At 53.4% G+C, this 27,770-nt stretch overlaps 1 protein-coding gene across 1 annotated transcript in view, besides 4 other annotated features; it reads left to right on the plus strand.

The window, feature by feature from the left end:
• KCNK3 (potassium two pore domain channel subfamily K member 3) overlaps window positions 319–27,770 on the plus strand; it is a 40,699-nt gene continuing 13,247 nt past the window's right edge. Inside the window, exon 1 of the mRNA NM_002246.3 lies at window positions 319–755. Within this exon, the coding sequence (NP_002237.1) occupies window positions 473–755 (283 nt within the window). The 5' untranslated portion in view covers window positions 319–472. The remainder of the gene's footprint in view (window positions 756–27,770) is intronic.
• Window positions 4,654–5,155: an enhancer, noted in NCBI's record as "H3K4me1 hESC enhancer chr2:26919925-26920426 (GRCh37/hg19 assembly coordinates)". NCBI's record gives its function as "activates a minimal SCP1, AML or CMV promoter by ChIP-STARR-seq in primed H9 embryonic stem cells {active_cell/tissue: H9 hESC(primed)}" and the evidence as "EXISTENCE:reporter gene assay evidence [ECO:0000049][PMID:30033119]".
• Window positions 13,764–14,661: an enhancer, noted in NCBI's record as "H3K27ac-H3K4me1 hESC enhancer chr2:26929035-26929932 (GRCh37/hg19 assembly coordinates)". NCBI's record gives its function as "activates a minimal SCP1, AML or CMV promoter by ChIP-STARR-seq in naive H9 embryonic stem cells {active_cell/tissue: H9 hESC(naive)}" and the evidence as "EXISTENCE:reporter gene assay evidence [ECO:0000049][PMID:30033119]".
• Window positions 16,898–17,819: an enhancer, noted in NCBI's record as "H3K4me1 hESC enhancer chr2:26932169-26933090 (GRCh37/hg19 assembly coordinates)". NCBI's record gives its function as "activates a minimal SCP1, AML or CMV promoter by ChIP-STARR-seq in naive H9 embryonic stem cells {active_cell/tissue: H9 hESC(naive)}" and the evidence as "EXISTENCE:reporter gene assay evidence [ECO:0000049][PMID:30033119]".
• Window positions 17,820–18,739: an enhancer, noted in NCBI's record as "H3K4me1 hESC enhancer chr2:26933091-26934010 (GRCh37/hg19 assembly coordinates)". NCBI's record gives its function as "activates a minimal SCP1, AML or CMV promoter by ChIP-STARR-seq in naive and primed H9 embryonic stem cells {active_cell/tissue: H9 hESC(naive and primed)}" and the evidence as "EXISTENCE:reporter gene assay evidence [ECO:0000049][PMID:30033119]".

A 27,770-nucleotide genomic window follows, 5' to 3' on the forward strand; every position in this document is an offset into this window, starting at 1 on the left:
CTTCCCTCAGTCCTACACTGCCTTTCTCCCATTCTCCGTAGTTATCAGCGTTTCGCTGTCTAGTTTTCTCTGTCTCTCGGGCTCGCTCTCTCTCTCTTTCTCTCTCTCTGTCCTGCCCGGGCTCTCTCGCGGCCGCCCCTCCCGTCCCCTCCGCCAGCCCCCCTCCTCCCTCCTCGGCGCGTCTCCCCAGTCCTTATTTGGCTGGGCGGGAGGGCTGGCGGGAGGAGGCGGCCTGCGGGCGGGGGGCGGGGGGCGGGCGCGGGGCCGGGCGGAGGAGGGCGGTGGGTGGTGCTGAAGGGACAGCTCCGCGGCGGCGGCGGCGGCGGCGGCCCCGGGCGCTGAGCGGGTGCCCGGCGCGGAGAGCGGCGAGCGCAGCCATGCCCCAGGCCGCCTCCGGGGCAGCAGCAGCGGCGGCCGGGGCCGAGGCGCGGGCCGGGGGCGCCGGGGGGCCGGCGGCGGCCCGGGCGGGACGATGAAGCGGCAGAACGTGCGCACGCTGGCGCTCATCGTGTGCACCTTCACCTACCTGCTGGTGGGCGCCGCGGTCTTCGACGCGCTGGAGTCGGAGCCCGAGCTGATCGAGCGGCAGCGGCTGGAGCTGCGGCAGCAGGAGCTGCGGGCGCGCTACAACCTCAGCCAGGGCGGCTACGAGGAGCTGGAGCGCGTCGTGCTGCGCCTCAAGCCGCACAAGGCCGGCGTGCAGTGGCGCTTCGCCGGCTCCTTCTACTTCGCCATCACCGTCATCACCACCATCGGTAACGGCTCGCCGGGCGGGGGGCGGGAACCCAGGGCTGGGCGCGGGGCTCCGGGAGTCGTCCGGGGCCGGCTGGGGCTGGGGGCGGGGGCTCCCCCGAGAGGGGCTGGGCGCCGAACCCTGCGCTCGCAGAAACCCGAGTTCAGCCTGGCGTGTGTGCTCCGCGGGGACGGAACTCGGGGAGGCGTCGATTCCTGGCTCCGGACCTGACTCTCCGGCCGGGCCAGCCCTAACTTGGCCCTGCCATGTTGCATAGGCCCCCAGGGACTCCGAAGTGTGTGAGAGGGGCAGGGACGACCGGCGGAGGCTCGGGCAGGAGGGGTGTGGCCGGGCCAGGCCCTGAACAGGGCGCTGAGAGTGAGCGGCGGGAGAGCGCCAGTGCTCCGTATCCCTGAGGATCGGCTTCCACAGCCTAGCAGGTCTACACCTGCTGGGCTCTGGGGAGGCATGAGGATGTCGGAATGCGGCACTTCGGGGCACTTGGGGCCACCCTATAACGGCGGCTGTGAGTGTACGTGTGTCTGCGTGTTTCAGCTCCAGGAGTTTGGTCGCCACCAGTCAGTGCCTGTGATTTTCTCAGAGCGGCAGAATTGGTGCGGGAAGCCAGATCTGGCCTTGTCAGCCTTCTTCTCTGCTGTCCCAGCAAAACAGTCACCTCACAGGAATAACCCCAGTTCTTTCCAAGCCAGGGCAGATCACCATGTAGGAGGCCACACGTACACCCAGACTGTCAGACAACACAGGCATAGGCACACATGCACACAGATACACACAGGCACTCACAGGGTACACACAGGGCGGGCACACACACACACACACACAGAGAGAGAGACAGAGAGAGAGAGAGAGAACAAACGTTGCCCAGGAAAGGAATCTCTAGCCAGGCCCTTGGTGGTGCTATTCAAAACTGTCCAGACGGGAATAACACCTTACCTGTCCCCAACACCCTATGATTTCAGCCCAGCTCCATCACTACCGTGATATATGACCTTGGGCAAGTCCCTTCCCCTGTCTGGGTCTCAGGCTCACCTCCAGACAAGGAGGGGTGGCCAAAATGATCTCAAGAGCTCCTCCCCAGCCCCGACGTGCTTGGATTCTGAGATGAAACCCACCTTCCCCCAAAGCCCATTGAGATGCCTCCAGAAGCAGTTTCCTCTGTCTTTACTGTTCCCTCTCCTCTCCCTAGTCCCCTTCCCTGCCTTGATCAGACTCCCAGGGGTTCGTTGCCACTTAGCGCAGCCCATGAAGATGGCATTGTTTTCCTGGGAGTCAACAGGAGCTGAGGGAGTAAAAGGCAGGACTAGACACTCTTCCTGCGGTCTATCCACTGCAGGACACTGTTCCAAGAATCTACGGCTCCCTGGGGACCATGGGGAGCTATGCTGTGTCGTTTCTGGATTCTTCTCTTGGAAGAGGGAGGAAAGGGCCCTGGGAGTGGATGTGGCCCAGCTGGGGCACCTCTGGGTCCTACTGGTCCTGTGAGTTTAGGATAGGATGATCAGACTTAGGTCTGCCCAAAGAGGAGCCCGCTTCCTGAAAAACACCAGCCCAGATTTGGTCTGCAGTCTCTTCCACTCTCACACCCCACTACTATTTGCCAGGGTTTCAGTAGCTGTTTAGCTGTCTGGAGAATCAAAAGAATCAGACTGAACATCTTTGGACCCTCTCTCTCCCTCTTTTCCACACGTCAAGCCTTCACGCGTGTCCCCTTTCCTTCTCAGGCCCATGGTCCCCAGCTTCATAGTAACCTCCCAACTGACCTCCCTGCCTACCCCACAACAAGGCATGCTCCCCTGGACAATGCTGCCAGAAAGAAAAACTCAGCTGTCACCAAACCAATTCCCTTCTTGGAATCCCTCAATGACTCTCCACTGTCCATGGAATCTGGTCTATGCTCCTTATCTCAAATTTTGAGGATCTCCATACCTGGCTCCAACCTCTATGTCTGACTTCACATCTCACTTCTTACTTATGTGATCCCTCTCGATAGCTGCCAACCTGTCCTCTGAGAATACCTTAAGTATGCCTGTCTGGCATGCCTTTTTCTCTGCCCTTTTTCTTTTCTTTTTTCTTTTTTTGAGAGAAAGAGTCTCACTCTGTCTCACCCAGGCTGGAATGCAGTGGTGTAATCATAGTTCAGCACAACCTCAAACCCCTGGCCTCAAGCGATCCTCTCACCTGGGCCTCCCAAAGTGCTGGGATTACAGGTGTGAGCCACTGCGCCTGGCTCTACCTTCTATTTATCTTGTCCATGCTAACCTTCCAGGTCCAGCTCAAATCCCCCCTCCTCCTCAAAGCCTCCCAGGCCACTGCTCTGGACAACTGCAGGTCTCACTGTGAGGATGATCTGGGTGACACGCTGTTGGCTGTTTTGAATGGTTATTTGCATTATAGGGGAAGTGTTTTGTCTCTTTGACCACACTGTACTCAACCTCCATGTGGGCAGGTCCTGCAGTTCCTGTCTCTGTGCTCCAAGTGCCAGCATAGTACCCAGAGGCTGTGAGCACACACAGAATGCTATTGATGGGTTTAAGGTGTGCAGAAATGAAAGGGTAGCATCCTTCCCTCTTCCTCTGCCGTTTCCCAAAGTGCTTGCAGTCCTCACCAAGAGAGACGCTAAAAGCCATGGGGGGAGAGGCAGACAGAGTGCGGTTCTGGTGATTATTTATTTATAAAGTGCTGGGCAAGAGGAAAGACAACATCAGACCACCCCCCTGGTTCTGTGGGGGCCCCTCCCTCCCTGCCCCACCTGACCATCCTGGCTTTGTGTTGCCTTCCACTGTGGCTATGCCACCTTGCTGGAAGCTGTCCACAGGGGCTCTGCTCTAAGAAAAACCTATTTGGGCTGTGATCAGATGGTAGAAAGGGGCCTTAGTTAGGCTGATAATGGCCCCAAACCCAAGGGCAGCAGCCTGTGTTCACCTGACCCCTTTGAAAACATGAATGAGTCTCATTCTGAGATACCGGGTGTCCCATTGGGATGGAATAATGACAGCACTTCCCATCATTTGCTACCTTAGTGATCACAATGCACTTGCATCTCTTGTCATGATTCTCAGTCTTCATGACTTGGTGAAGTTGCTGGGCAGGTATTGTTAGCTCTGCTGCATGGATGAAGGCGTGAAGGCTCAGGGAAGGGAAGCGGCTCCCCCAGTCACCCAGCTGGTAAGCAGCAGAGTCAGAGTGGGAAGCTGGGTCTTCTGACTCCAAGCCCAGTGCTCTTTCCCTGCTGGTCTTTTGGCTGCTTCCTTTGACTCCATATGCTATGAAGCTCAGACCCAGCCAGGCCTGACACAGCCAAGCCGTGCTTAGTGATGCCAGCTCACAGGGTGCTCATGGGCAGCCCTGATTGGTTGGAGGTCAGCAGGTTCTTTCTTAGTCATTCACCTGGTTAGTCACCGTCTCCACTGGCTGGAAGGATTCCTCCAGCTCCCTATCCCTGGTCTCCCAGCCAGGAAACCCTTCCTTTGCTGGTGCCCTAAGTTCACCCAACAGTAATAGAAAGTCATTTCTTAGGAAGTCTTAACCACTTTAGCTGTTGAGTCATTAAACTCCTCCAGGGCCCAAGCCTCATCTATTCATAGCTCAGAGGCTGTCAGAGCAGGAAGGGGCTTCGGAGATCAGCTGGTACCACCCCCTGCTCTGACAGATAAGGAGTCAGAGAGGTGACAGAAATCACACAGTCAGAGGGTAGCAAAAACCTAACCCCCAGTCCCCTACTCCTTCTACTTGTTCAGGATACTTATTTATTATTTTTATTAACAACAGCAGCAGCAACAACAATAACAATGGCAACCACCATTTATTATTTACTTTGTGGCAGGCTCTATACTAGACGCTTCATTTGTACCCCCTTATTTAATTCTCTCACCAACCTCTCTAGATAGGCATTATTACCCCCATTTTTCAGCTGAGGAACCTGAGGCTCTGAGGGTAGATGACTCCCCCATGGCCTCAGGCCTCGGAAGCATGGCACTTGCCCAGATTCAATTGGACCTCTCTGACTCTCCTGCCCTGAATTTTTCACGAATTCTTTCTCCATTTCAAGAGCCCATTCCATGCTGGGTGCAGTGGCTGACACCGGTAATCCCAGCACTTTGGGAGGCGGAGGCAGAAGTAGACAGATCGCTTGAGGCCAGGAGGTCCAGACCAGCCCGGACAACATGGCAAAACCCAGTCTCTACTAAAAATACAAAAATTAGCCAGGCATGGTGGTTCATGCCTGTAGTCCCAGCTACTCAGGAGGCTGAGGCATGAGAATCACTTGAACGCAGAAGGCAGAGGCTGCAGTGAGCCGAGATCGCACCATTGCACTCCAGCCTAGGGCACCTAGAAGCCAAGGCTTGCCTTTTCCCCAGCAAAGCCCTCCCCAGAAGCAGGGGGCTTCCTGCTCGAGCACACTCCAGTCAGGCCTGCTGCTTGCCACACCCTGGCCCCTGACCAAACCAGACGACTTGTCACAGCTGTGCCCAGCACCCGCCATGGGCACCTGCCATGGGCTCGCAGGTGCCCATTCTCCCACTGCAGGTCCTGGGAATCTTTTTGGCTCTAAGGCAACAACAAAGAGACCAGGTGATTGATTCGCTGATGGGGCTGGGGCAGAAAACCTTCTGTTCCGCTCTTTCCCCAGCTTCCAGCCTGTGCTCAGCTGAGCACCACCTCCCGTCACCCACCACATGGCCTGAGAACCCTTAGACTGTGAACTCAAGCAGGTGATTCATGAGGAAACCTATACTTTTTACATCTTTTCAAGAAGGAGAGTACAGATGTGACCTGCCACCCCCAAAATCCCAGAGGTCCTAAAATAAGAGAAGGAGACATTAGCAATCTTCCAAACACCCAGAGAGGTGAGCGGCTTGTCCACACTCACACAGGGAGTTGAGAGTATGACCCTGACTAGAAGCCAGGCCTTCCAGTGCCTGCACTGGTGTTCTCTGCATCCTCCAGCCTGTCCCCCACATCCCACCATCTCTCTTAGCACTCAGGCCTCTGGCAGCTCATCACTCCATTGTTCGAGGCCTCTTTCGACTTTCCAAGGTGAAGGAAGGGTAGCCCAGCCTAGGAAAGTCCCGGCACCCACCTCAGTTGGCATTTCCTTCCTGCCCACAGGCTAGCCCGTGGGCGTGCTTCGACCCCACAATTTCTGCAGGGCAGCGGAGGAACATAGGCACTGACTTGGAAGCTGGAGTGCCTGGGTTCATCTCAATCCACCCTATCCCCATTCCCCTACTGCCACTAGCTGTATGTCCTTGGACACATTATCTAATCTCTCTGAGCTTGTTTTGTCATTTACAAAGTGGGGATAATAATATCTGCCTGCCAGGATTAAATGGGATCATAAAAAGAAAGTGCCTGGTACAGAGAAGGCACTTAATAATTTGCCATTATTATTGTTATTAATACTATTGTTTGTGCATTATTACTTGCCTTACCAAGGAACTGCTCTGTCTCCCAAGGGTTACCATGACCACGGCTACTTCTGCTGCTTCCTAACAGGTGGGAACAGTGAGGTTGAGGGCCAGGAGATTGCCACACCCTTTCCCCTTATCTTCCCAATCCCACTCCCCACCCCCCATCTCCCCGCTCCTCAGCCATGCCTGGTGTTTCCCTAACTGTCCAGGCTCCTGCTCCTCCTCAGAGCAGAAAGCTAGCAAGGGGCTGGGCGTGGTGGCTCATACCTGTAATCCCAGCACTTTGGGAGGCTGAGGTGGGCAGACCTTGCAGAAAGCTAGCCAGGGGCTGGGTGTGGTGGCTCACACCTGTAATCACAGCACTTTGGGAAGCCGAGGTGGGCAGATCGCGTGAGGTCAGGAGTTCAAGACCAGCCTGGTCAACAATGGTGAAACCCTTCCTCTACTAAAAATACAAAACTTAGCCGGGCATGGTAGCACACGCCTGTGATCCCGGCTATGCAGGAGGCTGAGGCAGGAGAATCGCTTAAACCTGGGAGGCAGAGGTTGCAGTGAGCCAAGATCGCGCCACTGCACCCCAGCCTGGGCAACACAGCAAGACTCCGTCTCAGAAAAAAAAAAAAAAGGAAGGAAAGAGAGAGAAAGAAAGAAAGAAAGAAAGAAAGAAAGAAAGAAAGAAAGAAAGCCAGCCAAGGAGAAAGGTACACGGTGGTAGGAGAAACTACGGAGTGTGTTTGGCCAGAGATCTTTCTGACTGTGCCATGCCTCCTGTCTGCAGGTCCCGTTTCCACGCATTACCGTTAGGGGCTGGAGCATGGAGAGAGTGGGGGTGAGAACAGGACAGAAATAGAAGACACACGCCTGGCCACAGTGGGGACAGGACAAACACAATAAGTATTTTCAAAGCAAACATAAACAAGCACAGATGAATGTAGTGCAAATCACCACTATAAACAGCTTTCAGCTGGCTGCACAAACGGTGAATCTGTGAGTTGATTTTGTAATTAAAAAAATGTAGAAATGATTTCCCTGCAGTCAGCCAGCAGCAAGTGGAGACCAGACTCTAACTGAGACCACTGGGGGTCTAGGCCAAGCTCAGTGGAGACCCAGGACGGACACTCCCTCCTCCACTCCCTCTCCACCTTGGACACAGGGAACGGACAAGTGTCTGTAACAGGTCGGGTGCTGTCCACAACATTTCCTGTCACCAGAATCTCCACACTGCTCCAGGACGGCAGGCGGCATCATCCTGCACAGTCAAGGAAAAGGACGCTCAGAGAAGTTCAGAAATCTGGGCAGGACCCTACAAATATAAAATGACAGCACCAGGACTTGCACCCAGGTCTGTAGGGAGTATTTCTTCATGGAGTCATGCAACCCCCACTCCCCATGGAGCCTCTGCGACTCCTTCCATGTGAGCACAGCTAGCGGTGGCAGATGGGTACCAGGGTCTATGCAGGGTGCTCAGTTGTGGGCTCAGCTTCAGGGTCTCTTGCCCTCAGAACTATGGATAGAGCATTTAGCCCAAAGAGAGAACAGAATTTTAGCTCCAATCCTCTCAGTTCACAGTTTGGAGACTAAAATCCAGGCTGGAGAAGGGTCATGCTTACAGCTATCATCAGAGCTGGGCATAGAGCCCTGTTTCCTGACCCCTCCGCCAGCCTCTGGTCCTCAGAGAGCCACATGACAAATGTCTTTCGTGGCAGCACAAAGAGCAGTCAACCGCCCAGCTGATGCCACCGCCTCCCTGTCTGTCCACATTCTCTCATTGTGCAGAAACTGCCCATGCTACAGCAGCTCCCAGGTGGCTCCCAGAGACCTTCCCCTTAGCTGGAGCCAGCATCCCCAAGCTACTGCCACAAGTCACACCTTCACTTTCCCATTTGCTAGAGCCAGCCTCAACTGTGGCCTGGAGCCACAGCTCCAGTTCTCCTGGGCTGGTGGCCTCTCTGGCTGGGCCTGACATCCCATCCTCACCCTTCACAAAAGCAAGTTCCTTACTACCCCTGCTTCCTCCAGTGACACAGCAAAGATCCCTTAGTGAAGGGGCCATGTGGCTGCCAGGAATGTGGGGCAGGAGGCTGGCCTTCATGCTAGAGAGGTCTTAGACAAATTGTTTGCTGTTGCTGCTTCTGCTTCTCCCTCTTCATCATCATCATCACCATCATCATCATCATCACCATCATCATCATCATCACCATCATCATCATCATATCTCTCTCTCTGTCTCTCTCTCTCTCACTCTGTCTGTCTCTTTGCTGGCTCTGTGATCATGGAAGGAGCAGACACTTCCCTGGTGTACCTCAGTCCTCCCATCTGTATAGAGGAAGCAGTCCACAGAGGGAACTGAGGAGGCCAGCTCAGCAATGCAGAGTTCTCTAAGTCAATACTTCTCAAACTGTAATGTGCAGGGAATAACCTGGTTGATCTGGTGTAAATGCAGATTCTGAATCAGCAGGTCTGGGGCAGAGCCTGAGATTCTGCATTTCCAAAAAGCCCCCAAGGGACACTGATGCTGTGGATCAGATCCATTGTCCACATTTTGAGTAGCAAGGCTCTAAAGAACCTGGAGACCTGACATCTGGGAATAGCCATGAGATGTGTGGACCACAGTTTTAAGAAAAAGAACGTCTGCAGCTGGAAAAGACCTTGGGAATCTGGTGGTAAAATGTCAGAGCTGAGGGCCCAGGAGCTGTGGCCGCTTCCCTGAGGCTGGAGCAATGCTATGTCTTGCCCCATAGGAGCCAGCTAGAGAGCCTGGGTGGAGCCGGGTGCTGTAGCTGGCACCGTGAGGTAGAAGAAAGGGAAGTGGAGAAGGTGGATGGAAAGGGAGGAGAGAAGTGGAGAAGGGCTTGCCCCATGAGGAGGCCAGGGAACAGGGGACCACTGGTCCTCAGTTGTTGCCATTTCCTCCCCTGTCTGCCAGGAAGGCACCTTAGATCAATGGAAAACCGGTACCCCAGAGATTAAACATCAGAGCGGGAAACTGGCTCCTCCCTCATATCATCAGCCTGTCTTAGTTTGGGCTGCTATCATAAATTACTGTAGACTGGGGGCTTGAACAACACACATTTTTTAAAAACTTTTATTTTGCCTGGCGCAGTGGCTCATGCCTGTGATCCCAACACTTTGGAGGCCAAGGCAGGGGATCACTTGAGGTCAAAAGTCTGAGACCAGCCTGGCCAACATGGTGAAACCCTGTCTCTACTAAAAATACAAAAATTAGTGAGGCGTGGTGGCGCATGCCTGTAGTCCTAGCTATTCAGGGAGCTGGGGTGGGAGAATCACTTGAACCCAGGAGGCGGAGATTGCAGTGAGCCAAGAAAGCGCCACTGTACTCCAGCCTGGGCAACAGAGACAGACCCTGTCTCAATCAATCAATCAATAAATAAAAACTTTTATTTTAAGTTCAGGGATACACATTCAGGTTTGTTATATAGGTAAACCTGTGACATGGGGGGGTTTTTGTACAGATTATTTCATCACCGAGGTACTAAGCCTAGGACCTATTAGTTATTTTTCCTGATCCTCTCTCTCCTTCTACCCTCCACCCTCGAGTAGGCCCCAGTGTGTGTGGATCCAGTGGCTGTGAGAGCTGGCTTCCTGGCTTACAGATAGCCATCTTCTCACTGTGTCCTCACATCCTCACATGACAGAGAGAGAGAGAAAATGAGAGAGAGTGCTACCAGACACTCACCCTGCTGCAGGCTACAGTGTGGAATGCAGATAGTAGCACAAGACCTGTTTTCTTTGGGCCATGTGTGTATGCAAACTTTAAAAGGGGCATCAACAACCTGGGGGACTGTCAGAGGAGAGGAGCAGCAGGTCAAATGAGAGACACTTGGTAGAGCGGGCATGGACAGCATGAGTCCCAACTTCAAATATCTGCTGGGCTATTGTGAGGTGAAAGAACCAATCTTGCTCTGAGTGTGTCCAAGGGGTTGAACCAGCAGCAGTGGGTAAAGCTCATAGAAAGACTTGATTTAGTTCACTGTAAAGCAGAACTTGTTAAAATTGAAGCTGACCAAAGATGAATTGCACTGCCTCAAGAGGTAGTGAGCTTCCCATCACAGGAAGTATACAAGCAGACACTGGATGGACGTACTACAAAAGCCACTTGTATCAGCCAGGGTTCCACCACAGAAGCAGAACTGGTAGGAGATACATATTAAGAGATGTGTTGCAAGGAATTGGTGTATAGGCTGGTAGGGGCTGGCTTGGCAAATTTGAGATCCATACGGCAGGCCATCAATAAGGGCAGGCTGGGTCGGGCGTGGTGGCTCATGTCTGTAGTCCCAGCATTTTGGGAGTCAAAGGCGGGTGGATCACTTGAGGTTGGGAGTTCAAGACCAGCCTGGCCAACATGGTGAAACCCTGTTGCTACTAAAAATACAAAAATTAGCCGGGCATGGTAGGGGGCACCTGTAATCCCAGCTACTCAGGAGGCTGAGGCAGGAGAATTGCTTGAACCTGGGAGGCGGAGGTTGCAGTGAGCCAAGATTGCACCACTGCACTCCAACCTGGGTGACAGAGTGAGACTCTTGTCTCAAAACAAAAGAAGGGCAGGCCGGAGCTCTCTTCAGTATGTGCTAAAACTGCTGTCCACAGGCAGAATTTCTTCTTTGAGGGAGCTTCAGCAGTACTCTTATGGCTTTCAACTGATTGTATTAGGCCCACCCAGATTATCTAGAATAATCTCCCAAACTTAAAGACAACCCATTATGAACTTTAATCACATCTACAGAATGTCTTCACAGCAGTCCTAGATTGGTATTGGATTGAACAACTAGGGGCTTTAGCCTAGCCAAGATGACACATCAAAAAGGCCATCACACCACCCATATATCCCACTAAGGGTCACAATAAATGGCTTTTAAGATTCTTCCCAACCCTGAGATGCTTTGATTTATTTATCTTCAAAGGGGCAGCCTGGAGAGTTTGAGCACCCAGAGTGGGACTCAGGAGTGTCCTTGGGGCCCTGAGGCCCTCTGGGTCCCCTTCCAAATTGAATTGGCTTCAGCCTTCCTTTCAGTTCAGTTAACCAAAGATCATTTGAGATGTCCCGAAATCTCCTGTGTGCCAGGCACTATGTGAGGCATCAAGAGAATGAAAAACTAAGACCTAGAGCCTTCCCCAAGGAGCCTTGGGTCAGTGGAATCTGAAAAGCACAAGTTGCATGGTGCACATGCTAAATCCAAGTACAGTGACCCAAAGAAGGGTCTGAGAAGGTGTCCAGGGGTAGGTTTGAACAATGCGTGAGGACTTCAGGAGGTGAAGATCAGCAGCCAGAGCTTTCTGCGGTGAGCATGACACACGCCAGGGCATGAGCATGCCCAAGGAAATGTACTCGTGAGCAGATCCTGGAGGGCTCTGGACTCTGGTGTGTGGACTTGAGTGGACAAGCACTGGAAGACAGAGGATAGGCCCGATCTGTGTGCCCCTGCCTGAGTCCTGACCAGTGAATGCCCCAATGACCCCAGTTGAAGCAGTGGGTGCCCTGTGATTCCAGTTGAACCCAAGGGTAATGGTGACCTGAATCCTGATTGCCTGACTTCCCGCCCACCCTGCTCACCCAGCAGCCCTCTGTCAGCCCCCAGGGAGTTTTTGACTCCCCTATCCCATTTCCTTTTCTGGGCCAAAGTTCCACTCTGGAGCTCACACCAAGTACAGTTTTATTGACGGCTTGCAGGAGCACCGGGACGGTGCTAAGCTGAAGATGATGCTGCCATCCAACACTGAATGCACAGCTTCTGCATGGACAACCCCAGGCCCCTGCTCTCAGACCCCTTTTCTCTCCCACACACCCTCCCACAAATCCAAATTTCTGGATCCCAAGCGTACCCTCCTTGATTTCTGCTCCGGGCTCCGAGGCTTGGCATGGACTCAGTGTCCCTCATCAGGAATGCACAGGCCTCTCCTAACCACAACTCTGATTCAGAAATAACCATCTTGGAAACATCCTGAGAGTCACATTCCAGCCCTCCAGCCATAGGACCATCCGGGGCTTTCTCCAGGGAACTGAACTGTCAGGCCCCAGTGGGGCAGCCTGGAGAGATCTACACAGGCACTGAGACAGGGGCAGGCCCGCTCCTCCAGGATGAGGTCTAGTCCCCCTGCCCGTGCAGAGGAGATTCCCTGGGGCTTTGGGGGCAGGCACGGTACAGACAGTTCCAGGCAGGGCAAGCCTCCGATCAACGCAACAGATGGATCTGCCCTGGACTGTTCCACACAGATCTTACCCCCAACATGGAGCAGCCGCTCCTCAGGGAGCCTGCCTCTGTTACCACAGTCATGAACTAAGGTTGGCATTCATCAGGAGGTTACTCTGGACTGAGCCCTTTACAGGCATTACCTCATCCAATCCTCATGGCTGCCCTAGGAGGGAGGCACTATTTTCTTTCTTTCTTTTTTTTTTGGAGGCAGGGTCTCACTGTGTCTCCCAGGCTGGAGGGTAGCCATGATCATGGCTCACTGCAGCCTCGACTTCCCTGGCTCAAATGACCCTCCCACCTCAGCCTCCCAAGTAGCTGGAATCACAGGCATGTGCCACTACACCCAGCTAATTTTTAAATTTTAAGTAGAGACAGGGTCTTTCTATGTTGCCCAAGCTGGTCTCAAACTCCTGGGTGATCCTCCCATCTCGGCCTCCCAAAGTTCTGGAATTACAGGTGTGAGCCACTGCATGTGGCCTGGAGACAGTATTATTATCCCCATTTTACAGATGAGAACACTGAGGCTCAGGGGGGTCAGGGGATGTGTCCAAAGTCATGCAGCTGGCAAATGGCAGAACACGGATATGTTAAGCACTCGGTCATCGAGTGTCTCTGAGCCTCATATCAACCCCAAGGTGTAGGCATCATTATTCCTACTTTGCCAACAAAGAAATTGGACTTGAGAGATAAGGTCACTTCCTGCAATTGAGGGTCAGTGAACGTGGGAGCCAGAGTCCAGTCCAGACTTCCCAACCTTAACACCTAGCTTCTCCCCGACCCACCCCAACCACAAGTGCCCTTGCCCCCTTGACAGTGGCAGAAAATAGGTCATTCCCGTAGTAGGGATATTAGAGATGTCACAGAGGGTTGTGTTGGCCTATGAGGGGCAAAAAGGCAGCATTGGGGGCAGGGGCAGTTGTCACAGAATGGCCTTGGTTCCCGGCCTTTGTCCACACCATCCCACTGAACAGGATGGGAATCTGAGACCAGAATGGGGACAGAGTGACGGTTCTTAAGAGTGGCCACTGAGTGGAGAGGAGGCCTTGCTGAGGGTGACTTGGGCAACTCACCTGCTCCCTGGTATGGAGGTAGGGGGGTGGGGGGCAGGTCAGACGGCCCTTGTGTGCTGAGTAGGGAGGTTACCCCCGTAGCAGCAGTTGCTGGAACCAGAGTCATGGGTGTGAGGACCCTGCCCACGGGAGTTAATTCATTAGGGCTGAGGTAAGCCCAGGAGGCTTCAAGTCTGAAGGACCCCCCAGGCGATTGGAATCTGCAGCCTGGATCTGGGATGATGGAGAAGAGAGCTTGTTGGGATCTGTATTCCATACTTGGGAGGCTGGGCCACTCACCAGCTGCTAGAATTTTCTTTCTGGCTGTCCTTGGTGTCTCAGAAACATGCAAAGGTGGCTGAGGAAGATCTTTGCTCATCCTCGAGCCAAAGCTCCTGGGGTGAGCCAGGTGGCCAAGACATCAGGAGTCAGTGGGTGGCCCCCAGAGAAGGTCGTTTCCCCTCCCCCCCAGAGGAGGAGCTGGAGAGGGCCTCAGTAGGGGTCCTGGGGTCCTGGGGACAGGTCTGTCTTTCGCTTCATGGCTTTAGCTCTCACTGCCTGCTCTCAAACAACCCCAGGGAAGGTGGTCAGCCCAGGGGAGGCCCCCTCCACTGGGAACAAATCTGGGGTTGGGGCCAGGCTGAGCCAGGGTGCCCCCTTCTTCAGCATGACTCTGAGTCATGGATTTTCCAGCATGAGGGTCAGGCAAAGTAAGACCCTCCAGGGCTTCCTGGGGCTCTGGAGCAGGGGCTCCTCTTGTCCTTGGTCCACCTCCAGGAGGGGCCGGAGAGAGAAAACCTGGAACCAAACTCAGTGGGCAGCCCTCCTCTTGCATGCCGTGCCCAGCTAAGTGCCCTGGAGTCCCGAGCACTCATCTGCCTGGGCTCCAAAGAGGCCCTGCTGTCCCCTGCCTGCTTCCAGGGGGTGGGCCAGTGAACTCGTAGAGGCAGGCATCTCGTCCTTTCTTGCAGCTGTGACGGGCCAAGGAAAGAGGGGATCCAGCCTCCTCCACTGCTCCTCTGCTCCTCTGCTCCCACCTGGCTGTGAAACCTGGGGCGAGTCATACCTGCCCCTGGCCTTGTCTGTGAGGGACTGGGCTGGTGGCACCTAAAGCCCTTCCAGTTGGGGCCGTCTCTGTTGCACCTGCCCTGGCCTCCCCTCCAGCCCTCCCGAGAAGCATGCTACCCAGGATTACGCTTTTGTCCCCGCTTCACCCCATGCTGTCCGAGCCCTGAAGAGACTTCCTCTGTGTCTAGTCCCAAGAATAGAGTTCTGTCAAGGACCTCCAAGTCACCCCTTGCTGGAAAGAGAGCATTCTTGAGTGTGGCCGAGGTCCTGCTTATCAGCACAGCGAGTCCACTGCCCCAGCCCCTGGGGCTGCTGGAATGCAGGAGCCTCCCACCCGGACAGGGTCAGCTGCTCACGGCTCCCACAGTAGTCCCTGGAATGGAGTGCGGGAGGGAGCACTGGTGCTGAGGGCAGGCTGATCCCAGCCACTGCCTTCCGACAGGGAGTGGCCAGGAGCGAGGCTGCAGACACAGTTTTGTTGCACCCCAGCTGGCCCAGGATGTGTGTACTGGCAGCCAGTCCTGCCATCCAGGCCCTGGGCTTGCTCCAAGGCTGCCAGGGTACCGGGAGCTGTGTTCTGCTCATGCACCAGCCTTCAACATTTCACCTTGACCAGTGACCCACTGGATCTTCTCAGGGTCAGGGCTTAGCCCTGGGGGTCTCCACTGTGGTTTGATCACTCAGAATGTTTTGGGGCCTGGTGTGATTCCCTGCTACAGAGCCTACACAGTCATGTACTCAACCTTTGGCCAGGATGGGGTGAGTTCAGGGTGCTGCTGATGGTCCGCACCTGCAGAGTAGAGGCTCAGGCAGACAGCAGATAGCATTCTGGCAATTCCCAGAGTCCTGCAGATGCTTCAGATTCTTTGAGAACCACTGATGCAGCCCAACCCTTCTCTCTTCCAGATGAGGGGATGAGACCCAAGGCAGGGTGCAGGGGAGATGGGCAGTGGCGTGCCTCCACTACACAGCAGTCCAGTGACAAAGCAGTCCTCGAACTCAGGTCCCCGACTCTTTCCACTCCCCTCAGGCACCCACGCAGTCATTCCTCCACCCACTCGGCCTCTCTGAGCATCTTCCCTGTGTCAGGCCCCATTCTAGGCCCCAGGGACTCAGCAGGGAAAAAGAGCAGCCCCTGTTCTCATGGGGCCACTTTAGAGGAAGTAGAGAGTCAACAAACTAAATTATGTTGTAAAAAATAAACAACATCATCTCAATGGTAATAAGGGCCAGCAAGACAAGAAAGCCAGGGGATGAGAGTGAGAGGGAGAGCTGCCTTCCAGGAGGGGCCTGTAGAAGGCAGAGGTGGGAGAACAGATTTCTGGGCAGGGGAAGAGCAGATGCAAAGGCCTCAAGCAGGCCAGTGCCAGGTGGGTTGAGGAACAGGAGCAGTGTGGCTGTGGCATGCTGAGTGAAGTGAGGAGAAGAGGCAGAAATCTGTAAGGGCTGGACACTGCAGGGCCATGGAGACCATGGTCAAGAGTTTGGATTTTTGGCTGGGCGCGGTGGCTCACACCTGTAATCCCAGCACTTTGAAAGGCTGAGGCAGGAGGATCACCTGAGGTCAGGAGTTTGAGACCAGCCTGGCCAACATGGTGAAACCCTGTCTCTACTAAAAGAAATACAAAAAAATTAGCCAGGCGTTGTGGCATGTGCCTGTAATCCCAGCTACTCGGGAGGCTGAGGCATAAGAAGCTCTTGAACCTGGGAGGCGGAGGTTGCAGCGAGCCGAGATCGCGCTATTGTACTCCAGCCTGGACAACAAGAGCAAAAACTCCATCTCAAAAATAAAAAAATAAAAATAAAAGAGTTTGGATTTTTAAGACTGATAGAAGTCACTGGAAGGGTCTAAGTGGGTTGTGATGTGACATGACTTAAATTTTTACAAGAGCACTCTAGCTGCTCTGCAAAGATCGGATGGTGGCAGTGCAAACAAAAGCAGGGAGACTGCCAGGCCACAGGTCACCAGGCCACCCGCAGGTCAACCCCTCCAAAGAGAGGATGGTGGCGGACTGGACCAGCGTGGTGGTGGTGGAGACAGAGCTTGTGGGTGGATTGAGCTATGTTTGAGAGGCAGAGGAGACAGCACTGGCTGATGGGTACGATACATATGTTGGAGGAGAGGGCTGTAGGAGTTGGGGGAAGAGAACAATCGAGAATGGTCCTCAGTTTTTGACCTGAGCAACCAGGTGGAGGATGTGCATTTACTAGATGGAAAAGAACATCCAGAGAGTAGCAGGTTTGGTAGACTCAAGACTTCTGTTTCGGATACCCAGCCTAATTTTGAGATGCTCATTTCAAATCCATGAAGGCAGTTAGACAGATAAGTCTGCAGCTCGAGGGAGAAGTCAAAGCTGAGATATCAACTCAGGAGTTATCAGATAGAAATAATATTGAAAGTCATGCGCCAGATGAGATCAGCTGGGAAGGGGGTAGAGCTGGCAAGAAGAGCAGAGCGCCCAGCCCTTCCTCCAGTGCTGGGAGGTCAAGCAAGGAAGGGAGCCTGCCAGGAGATGGGAAGGAGGCCTGGGCACTGTGGTGGCCCAGAGGCCAGGGGGAGTGTTTCCAGAGAGGGAACAGTCAACCAAGCTGGCCACTGCTTAGAGGTCAAATAGGATGGAAACCACCAGTAGATCTGCAGCATGGCGGTCACCGGAGACATTGGCCATGAAAGCAGTGCAACATTCAACAGCTTGCTCCAGGAGCGAGGGAAGGGGAGGGTGGTGGGAGTCGGCCTGAGGTGGAACAGTGAGGCCAGATTCCAGGAGAGGCAGGGAAAGAGCAACTATACCACAGCTCGCCCTATTTTCAGGCCTTTCCGTAAATGCTTCACACCCTCCCCCTGCAGAGACCCATGAGGGAGTTAGCCTTATATCCCTCAAGCAAATGAGGCCTGAGGCCCAGCAAGGCGATGGGCGCAGGGCTACTGCCAGGAAGCCGAGTCCGGGCCTGTCTGACTCCAAAGCCCCCGCTCTTCCTCAGCAGTCCCTCACCCCAGCCCCACCAGCTCCGCCTGCCTTACCCTGCCGCCGCCTTCCACATTCCCTCCCACCTCATCCATCCTTGTCCTTTGATCATTTCTGTCAGCTTCCAGCCGTCTTGGCCTCTGCCTCCCTCCTCCAGGAAAGCTCTGCTTTTTCTCTTTGATCCTGCACGTCTGTCCTCTGCTGTGTCCTCAGCTGGGCCCCACGTCCCTCCCACCCTGTCCTTGCGAGATGTTCCCGCACCCTCTGCCAAGGGTGGGGGGCTGAAGAGTAACCAAGAGCTTTGCAGGGAACCTGGGCCTGCGAGACAGAAGTGTGGCCCCTGTCCCCCGACTGCTCTTTGGGAAAGAGCTTGGGGATCTTTGGGCCTAGCTGGGCTCAGCACAGGGGCCCAGAGATGAGATGCAAGCGCACAGTCCATCGATGCCTCCAGAGGCAGCCAGGAGCGAGCTGGCAGGGCCGTGCCTCCTTATCCTGATGGGTCAAGAAGGGCCTCGGTGCTTCTCGAGAAGGGTGCAGATGAAGAGCAGTGGGCCCAAGTCCTAAATAGGGAGTGGTAGCCAGCAACACCCACCGGTGCCTGCCACCACTCACACACAGGCTTCAGAGAAGAGGGGAGGGGCTTGGGAACTCAAAGACCCTTTTGGAGCCAGGTGACTCCAGTGGGAAGTCATGTGCAAGGCCCACAGACAGTGTAGGGGGGAAGAGGGAAGCCCTGGCAGGAGATGGGGGCCTGTCCAGCCTGGCTCCCCTTCCCTACCCTGGTCTCTGGGATAAAGGAGGCTGTCTGGGATGTCTGTAGCAGCCTCCAGCTCTGACCCTTGGGATTCTAAGGCCTTGGGATTCTGAGGCCCTGCTGCTCCCAGCTTCTCTGGGAGGGCCTGGCACCCGATTCTCAGCTGGAAGAGATGAATAGAGCAGACCCAACACCCAGACACCACGGAGGTCCAGCCGCTCTCCCGAAAGCCTGACAGGGGGCTGCAGTAGTAATTAGCTCCCCACATATCCCCGGGGTTATTTTTGTCTCATTCTCCCCTGGTTTATTTTTAAAGTAACACTGGCACGTGGCTGGCCGGCTGCCCTTCCCAGGTGCCTGTGCCAATTTGGGCCAGGAATGGAGCAGGGCAAAATGTGCCCCCTCCCTCACGGTCCCGCCCTGAGTGCCGGAGCTAACCAGCCCCTCACTGACTGGCTCCAGGGGGGTTCTTGCTGCACTGAAGCCCAGAGTCCAGCCTGTGGCAAGCAGGTGGGCTGGCAGCAGAAGACCCCTGGGAAATTACCACGTCTCTGTCATGAAGCTGATACACATGTTGCCTAACCTTGACCGAGTCACCTCACCTGTCCCAGCATCGCCTCCTCATTTCTCAGTGGGATGAATGAAAGTGACATTGCCTTACTCACCGTGAAAACGCTCTGAAGTGTGCAATAAACTGAACTGGTGCAGACATCAAGGAACAGCGTGATTAACTCCCATATAAACATGCTGCCCCGCACTCTCCCACTAAGTCCCCTCCAAGGCACATCTTTCTCCCTAGAGGAGTGACTCCCAGTCTGGAAGTCTCCACTCCAATTTCTCCCTTTCCCACCAGCCCTGAGACCTGCCCTCCACGTTTTCTGTTTGGCTGAACCCTAATCCAGGCTGCCTGGAGTGAAGGGAGGCAGTATAGGGGAGAGAGTATGAGGGAGAACCTAGCTCTGCATTTACTTGCTGTGTGATCTTGAGCAACTGCTTGACCTCTCTGTGGCTCCGTTACTGCATCTTCAAATGGGGATAATAATAATATATACCAATAGGGTCGTTTGAAGATTACACAACGTACATATATTAGCTCGCTTAGAGCAGTGCCTGGCACGTAGTAAGCGCTCTATAAATGTTAGCTAATATTGTTTTGAATTGGAGAGGAGGATCAGTGACAGAGGCATTTAATCATTCGAATAAAGTCAAGTGCAGAGAAAGCCAGCTTGCCCAGATTCCATATCGGGGCTGGGGGGAGGGAGCAGGGTAGCACTGTAAGCTGCAGCTGGGGGGAGCTGGGTCCTGGGGAGATTGCCTGGGTCCTCGGGAGGCTGCCCAGCTTGGAGCTCTTGGCACCATAAAAAGCAAGCTCAGGACACCAGTGCATAAACAGGCAGCCTCTATAGATCACAGGAGCCAGGAAGTCACTCTCCTCTTATACCCTGGCCTGGCTGATCTCTTGCCAATGTTGCACTGTGAACAGTGGGTGCAGAGAAGCTGGAGGGCTTCAGGATGGCCGAGGCCACTGGAAAGGCTGGAAAATCAGAGGTCAGAAGAGAGCAACAAGCCCAGGGCAAGTCAGGTCTCAGAAACAGGCTGAGGTGGGTACTGCCTCCCTGTCTCCGTGTAAAGGGCAGTGTCCCCGAGGATGGGGACAACTGTTTGCTGTCTCCACGGAGGACAGACTGAGTCAAGCAACCGAAGGCTTGTTCACTTCATTCTGCAGAAAGAGCATTTCCTATAGGGTGCAGGGTTGAGTGAGTATGTTTCTACGGAGAGTGGTGGATTCTTAGCCTCCTAGAAGAGTCTGTGTCCCCTTGGCTGGAGAGAAGGGAGGCTGAATTCAGTGGCTTCTTTAGATCCCTAAGGGCCTGGAGCTTGTGAGAACAGTGGAAGGAGTGGGAGGCCCAGAGGCCAGGTCCTGTGAGGTGCTGCCTCTCCCTTTGTGCAGATGTCCCCCTTCCCTGTGTCTGTCCACCCTATAACCTATCGGGATGGTGGGCAGAGGCGTGCCCAGAGGCCACAGTAGGGGAGAGGCTGGGTGTTGGAGTGTGTGTGTGTGTGTGTGTGTGTGTGTGTGTAGGAGTGCGCACACACATGTGAATGTTGGGGGTGGGGACCTCATGTCTGCAGGCTGGCTCGGAGGGAGAGAAGGTCCCCAGCAGCTGCCTCCAGGCTGAAGTCCCTGTTGCCTGGAGTCCCTCTCTTCCTGGGCACTATGCCAACCTACACCATCTGAGCTCCTGAGCCCTGGGGAGGGTGCTGAGCCTAAGAAAAGCCTCCTTTCACATCTCCTGGCATCTGCTTCCAAATTCCCTGCCAGCCCAGAGCTGTCTGGGCGATGACCAGAATGGAGAGTGAGGAGCAGAAGATGGAGATGGGGCCACACATGCCCCAAGCTCCCCCCACCACACCCAACCCATTCATCAAGACTAGCTTCATGGATCTGCTAGTTTTCCACTGTGGGCACTGGGCAAGGCAGGCCAGTAGGAGAGGGGCCATCTCCACGCAAAACCTAATACCTGGCAGATGGTGGTGAGGGCAGAAGATGCCATTCTCCGGGGAGACTGCGAAAGGAGGAGGCAGCCCTGGGGCTTTCATTGGAGGCCAGAAGAGATGAGGGAGGGAAGTCAGGGCAGCAGCGACTCCAGTGACTCTGCAGCAGTGGAAGTGCTCAGAGGCGAGGCATGGGACAGATGGGACCAGAAATGGTGAGGGAGTCAGGAGAGGCCAGGCCAGTAGGGCGGGATCAGGTGGTGGATGGAGAGTCCACTTACTGGCCAGGAAACCCCCAGACTGTATTGTGTGGACTGGGGGAACTAAGGAAGGTTTCTGAGTGGTGAATGGCAACACAGAGCTGGGCTTAGAAACATGTATGTGGGCCGGACACGGTGGCTCATGCCTGTAATCCCAGCACTTTGGGAAGCCGAGGCGGGCGGATCCCCTGAGGTCAGGAGTTCAAGACCAGCCTGGCCAACATGGTGAAACCCCATCTCTACTAAAAAATACAAAAAATTTGCTGGGTGTGTAATCCCAACTACTTGGGAGGCTGAGGCAGGAGAATTGCTTGAACCCAGGAGGCAGAGGTTGTAGTGAGCTGGAGGTTACAGTGAGCCAAAATCGTACCACCAGCCTGGGCGAAAAAGCGAGAATCCATCTCAAAAAAAAAAAAAAAGGGCTGGGTGCTGTGGCTCACACTTGTAATCCCAGCACTTTGGGAGGCCAAGATGGGTGGATCACATGAGGTCAGGAGTTCCTGACCAGCCTGGCCCACGTGGTGAAACCCTGTCTCTACTAAAAACACAAAAATTATCCAGGCGTGGTAGTGGGCACCTGTAATCCCAGCTACTCTGGAGGCTGAGGCAGGAGAATCGCTTGAATCCAAGAGGCAGAGGTTGCAGTGAGCCGAGATCGCGCCATTGCACTCCAGCCTGGGCAACAGTGCAAAACCTCTGTCTTGAAAAAAAAAAAAGAAAAGAAAAAGAAAGAAACATGTATGTGTTAATAAGAGCTCCTACTTTGTGAGACCCTCCACACGCCAGGCCTTGTACTGGACACTTTATTTTACATGCTGTCTTCTAACCGCAAGGTCACCCAGCCACCTAGCAAGAGATGGGCTCAGAGAGGCAGTGTGGGTGGAGGGGAAGCAGCAGGCCCAGAATCAAGAGGCTGGGGTCCCAGGTCCAACTCAGGAGCTGCAACTGCAGGCGACACACCCAATCTTTCCAGGCTTCGGTGTCCCCGACTGTTGAATGGACACCACCCCGCCCAGTGAGCCACAGGGATTCAACAGGAATGGCCCTGCACTGCTCACTATGTTGGGGACCCCTGGGACACAGTGCTTGGGGACTGTGCACTCTCAGGCCCAACTGCTGCTGGGGAGGGGTTGAGCAGGAAGGATCAGGAAGCAGAGCTGGAGAGAGCACCCGCCTGCCTGTCCTCCCCAGGCCATCATTTTCCAGAACAACCTTAAGAGGAGGGATGCAGGCAGGATGCAGTGGCTCAGGCCTGTAATCCCAGTACTTTGGGAGGCCAAGGTGGGCGGATCACTTGAGGTCAGGAGTTCGAGACCAGCCTGGCCAACATGGCGAAACCCTGTCTCTACTAAAAATACAAAAATTAGCCAGGAGTGGTGGCACACACCTGTAATTCCAGCTACTCAGGAGGATGAGGCAGGAGAATCACTTGAACCCAGGAGGCGGAGGTTGCAGTGAGCCGAGATCATGCCACTGCACTCCAGCCTGGGTGACAGAGTGAGACTCCATCTCAAAATAAATAAATAAATAAATAAATAAATAAGGAGGGATGCATCAAGGTCCCCTTAGATGGGCCATGGATCCTGATCCCTGGGCCCCAGCCCAGAGACCCTGGAGGCCACATACCTGTGTGGCCTTGTCCAAATCACCAACCACTCACTCAGCCCAGTCTCCTTAGCTGAAAAGCCAGGGCACCTGCCTTCTGGCATGCAGCATCCATTCAACTAACATTAGTTAGACTGGACAAGGTGACCGGCCTGAGCTTGTCCCCTGGCTCAGACATTCACTAGCTGTGTGGGCTTGAATGAGTCATGGAAACTTTCTGTGTCTCAGTTTCCTTATCTGCAAAGTGGACATAATACTCATCTAAAATGTTTGTGAAGACTAAATAAACGAATGCGCAGAAAGCACTTACTACAGTGTACAGCGTCTGGAATACAGGTGCTTAATAAATGTGAGTTTTATTATTACTACGGCTGCTTTTGTTGTTACTACCACCATTAGCTGCTGTGTGCCAGGCACTGAGCCACTAAGAAGTACAAGGCAGTACCCCTGCCCTCGATAGCCTCTGCGTACAGACTTACAGGACAAAATGACAGCCAAAATAAAAAGCAGCAGCAGCTAAATAAATGAAAGAAAGCAAAGGCCCAAGTCCCCAAGATCCTGGTCTCCTGCATGAGATGAGTGGCAGGGAGTAGAGGAGAAGCTGGGTACCAACACGATTCCCAAATGTTCTGGCTTGTCTTGGCATGGGAGACTCAGGCAGGGACACGTGGCCATCTCCTCCCTGACTCCATGTGCCCCTGAGGGCCGGGAGGGTGTAGGGGCCGGGTCGGGGATTTTCCACCTAGCTCTGCCTGCCCCTCCGCTTCAGCTGGGGAATGTTACAATCAGAGCTGGGCTGGCCAGGCCGGCCCCAGGTCCCTCACCCTCTCCACAGCATCTGATCAGTGCCCACCAGGACTGTCGGTCTGGCATACACCCAAATGCCCAGTGTTATTGCTTTGGGCCAGCTGACATTCCCAGTGGCCTTTGTCTGACTGAAACTATTGCTGTCTCCACTGTTTGTGAGGGAGAGAATGTGGCCCTCTGAAAGCCCACAATCCTAGAACGCTGAAGGGCCTCAAGAATGTCTTCTAAGTTCTTCATTTCCCAGAAGAAGCGCTCGAGGCCCAGAGAGGGGCAGCGTCTTGCCTGGGATCACACAGCAGCACAACTAGAACCACACCCCAGGTCTTCTGACTTCCATCTTGGTGTGAAGAGTCCCGGGGCAGCCAAGTGCAGCAGAAAAAAACTGCCTTTGAATTTCAAGTTTGATTCTACCATTTATGGCCTGAGATGAAACACTGTCTCTCTCTCTGAGCCTCAGGTTCCACATCTGTAAAATAGGAATAATAGCACCTCCTCTAAAGGACAGCAATGCAAGCTCAAACAATAGAATGTATAGAGATTGCTTTGTAATTGATAAAGTCCTGCACAAATGAAATACAAGGGATTATTATTCTAGAACTCAGAGCACAGCACATATTAAGGACTCAAAAACACCTGCTGGTTGGAGTGGAGAAATGTTTGAAGGATGATGAGTAATGAACAAAGGGCCCCTGGAGCACTGATTTGTTTAGGTGGGTGAGATCAGGGAAGGTTTCAGAGAGGGGGTGACTTTTGAAATGGGCTTTGATGGAGGAGTAGAAGCCCAACAGGCAGAACAAAGAGCACGAGCAGTGTCCAGAAATGTGGAAAGGGGCCCTCCCAAGAGCTGCTGACACCATGTCCGCAGCCAGGTTTAGGCACCAGATCCTGCTCAAAATGTACCCCTCTCCTCAGGGCCTCTGCATGGTACATGGAATAGGAGCAACTAGCGATTTACTCAATGCTAAAATACAACTTTTCAGGGAAGAAGAGACATAAGGGATCTTCTAATCTAACTTCTCTTTTGAAGGTAGGAAAAATTGAGATAAGAAAACTGACTCAGATAAGTCTCAGGGAGCTGGCGTGGCTTAACAAACACCCTGCAGTAGGCTTAGCAAACTAGGGACTATGGACTGAATCTGGCCCACCACTTGTTGCTGTCAATAAAGTTTTATTGGAACACTAAATTTGCCATGCCCATTGTCACGTAGTATCCATGGCTTCTTTCTTGGTTCTATGGCAGAGTCAAGTAGTTGCAAGAGACCACAGACTCATAAAGCCTAAAGTATTTACTATCTGGCCCTTTACAGGAAACAGTTTGCTGACCCCTGTCATACAGCAAGGTAATAGTAGAGCTAGGATGGTAGCCAGGCCTCCTGACTCCTAGTACTTTGTAATTCCTATGCACCATCACCCTCTGGGCCCCGCCCTGCCCCCATAACACTGCCCACTGGGTGAGATTTCAGGCAGCCAGACTCTGGGCCTACACCTAGGCTGGCCTCTGCTGCTCCTCAGACCCAACAGGGCTTCCAGTTGGGAGAAGTTCATTCCCTTTAGGAGATTGTGGCAAGGAGATACCAACACACCCCTGTTTCTCCTCAATGGGCTCAACAGGAAAGGCCTGGGAGTGTAAATGTGTAAGACTCGGGCCAGCCAGATGCCAGCGTCATGGACAGGGCCTTGAAAAAAGCATGTGGGGGAAAACTGGCACCTCAGCCATCCGCGAAGAGGGCCAAGTCCACTTTAAATTGTGCTGTGGAATTCCTTTCTCAATGCCAGGCTGTTCCTGGTGGATTCATTTAATTAAAACCCCACCAGATCCAATCTGTTAGAAGCTCTGAGCTCACAGATGCCCTGTCCAGCTGGTCATGAGGATGCAGACAGGCCACAGGCCTGGGCCATGGCACCTGGCTCAATGGCTAGCTTAGAACAGGCCCCACCGGCCCCAGGTCAGGGCCCTGCCCAGGACCCCCAGGATAACTGGCTGGTGGTGTGGCATTGCCTGCTTTAGCCCTCACGCTCTGCTTATCCTCTCCGTCTCCATTCTGTTCAAACCTCAGGCTCATCTCTGATGCCTCCCTCTCCCTCAGTCATTCATTCAACAGAAATTGATGAAGCAGCAGCTCTGTGCCAAGCCCCCTTCCAGGTGTGAGGGATCCAGTAGCAAACAAAAGAGATGAGAACCCCTGTCCTCATGGGGCTTACAGTTTCACCCATGAATGCAGGGCATCCCACACACCATGCATCCACTCTCCTCCCCTCGCCCCTTCCTGTCCTCTCCTTTCTCGGCCCCTCGCCCCTACCTCCTCCTCTCATCCCGAACTCTTGGATCCTCCGCTTCCCTCTAGCTCAGGCCTGAGCACTTGACAACTGGACCATGCAGAGGACCTCAGTGGATCCACCTGCCCCCATCTCCCACAGCCACGCCCCTGCCCAGGGTTGCCAGGCATTCAGCTCAATATCTCTCTGAGCACAGCCCTCCCCTGCTCAGGAGCCATCCATGGCTCCTCATTGCCTTAAAACGAAGACTTCATTCCTGAACCCACCCTTGAAAGCACCTCAAATTTTGGCCCCTTCTCACCTTGACGATCTTCACTTTTCAACTGTACTTCCTGTTCCAAGAACGCCAGAAGAACTTGTGCTGTTTTTAGGTTTATAATATTCATCGTTTTCTACTTACAAAAGTAATAGTTTTTTGTAGTGAAGAATTTATAAGAGGAAAATTAAAATTAATCACGAGCCCATTATTCAGAGATAAGCTATATGAGCTTTAGAATATTTCCTTACAGCTATATATGTGTGTGTACTCATACAAAATGTATATGTGAATACACTTTTTTTTTTGAAACAGGGTCTCCCTCTGTCACCCAGGCTGGAGTGTAGTGGTGCAATTACTGCTCACCACAGCCTCGACCTCCCGGGCTCAAGGGATCCTCCCACCTCAGACTCTTGAGTAGCTGGGACCACAAGCACAAGCCACCATGCCTAGCTAATTTTTCGTTTTTTTCTAGAGATGGGTCTCACTGTGTTGCCCAGGTTCGTCTCGGATTCCTGGGCTCAAGCGATCCTCCCACCTCAGCCTCCCCAAATGCTGGGTTTACAGGCATGAACGAGTGTGCCCAGCCACATTTTTCATATTTTCATATTAGCGTGGGATCCCACAATATAGAAAGCGTTGTCTCCTACTCTTTTAATTTAACATGATGTGGTAGTTTTCTATGTAATCAAGAGACTGTTCAAGAACTGCACTTTAATGGTCACACAATATTCCACCACATAAATATACCTTAATATGTTTAACCAAACTCTATTGGTGGATATTTGGACTGTTTACAATTTTTCACAATGAAAATGCTGCTATAAACATCCTTGTTCATAAATCTTTGTTCTGATCTCTGGTTATTTTCCGAGCAGAGATTCCTAGAAGTGCCACTGCAGGGCCACTGGGTAGACACATTTCTAAGCTTCTTGATTCGTATCATGCAGCTGCCTTTCTGAGAGAGTCCGCTGGCCCCCACACCAACCCCATTTGTGAGCACACCCACCAGTCCCACGCAGGTCTATTTTCTCTGACCTTAACACATCATGTGTCATCCTAACATTGTATCCTTGCCTCAGTAGCTCCCCTCATCAGAACCCTGCATTTCCTATCCACCCTTCAGAGCTCAGAGCAAATGTCACCTCCTCCATGAAGCCCTCCCTGATAACCCAACCAAAGTTCTCTATGTCCAGCCCTCCTTCGGCTTCTGTCTTAAATCCCTCCTAAAACATTTCCCACCTTTGCCATGCATTTTAATAATTTGTGTAATAATAACCTCTGCTTTATACAGGGCACTGAAGTTTTCAAAGTGCTTCCACTGAGAGGTTTCATTTGATTCAATCCCAGATGGAAAGTGTTTTGAGGTCAGGGACCTCATCAATAGATCATCTAGGTCTATTTCTCCTGGCTACATCACCAACTCAAGTCCAGCACAACCTCAAGCTAGCCCTTGTGTAACAGAAGTGTTTCACCAGCCCTTGTTACTCCTTGGCCTATCAGAACAGACTTCAAGATGCTCCCTTCTGCAGCATAGGGCAGTAAAAGATGACATGAGGGCCCTGGATTCCAGTCCTAGCTGTGTCACTGAGTTGCTGTGACCTTGGGCTAGTCCCTGCTCCTCTCTCAGCCTCAGTTTACCCATCTATAAAATGAGTGGGGGGAAGGGCACCGTGGCTCATGCCTGTAATCCCAGCACTTTGGGAGGCCGAGGCAGGTGGATCACTTGAGATCAGGAGTTTGAGACCAGCCTGGCCAATGTGGTGCAACCCCGTCTCTACTAAAAATTAGCCGGATGTGGTGGTTCACACCTGTAGTCACAGCTACTCGGGAGGCTGAGGCAGAAGAATCACTT

This window comes from Homo sapiens, chromosome 2 (genome assembly GCF_000001405.40).
Source record: "Homo sapiens chromosome 2, GRCh38.p14 Primary Assembly".
Classification (NCBI taxonomy): Eukaryota; Metazoa; Chordata; class Mammalia; order Primates; family Hominidae; genus Homo; species Homo sapiens.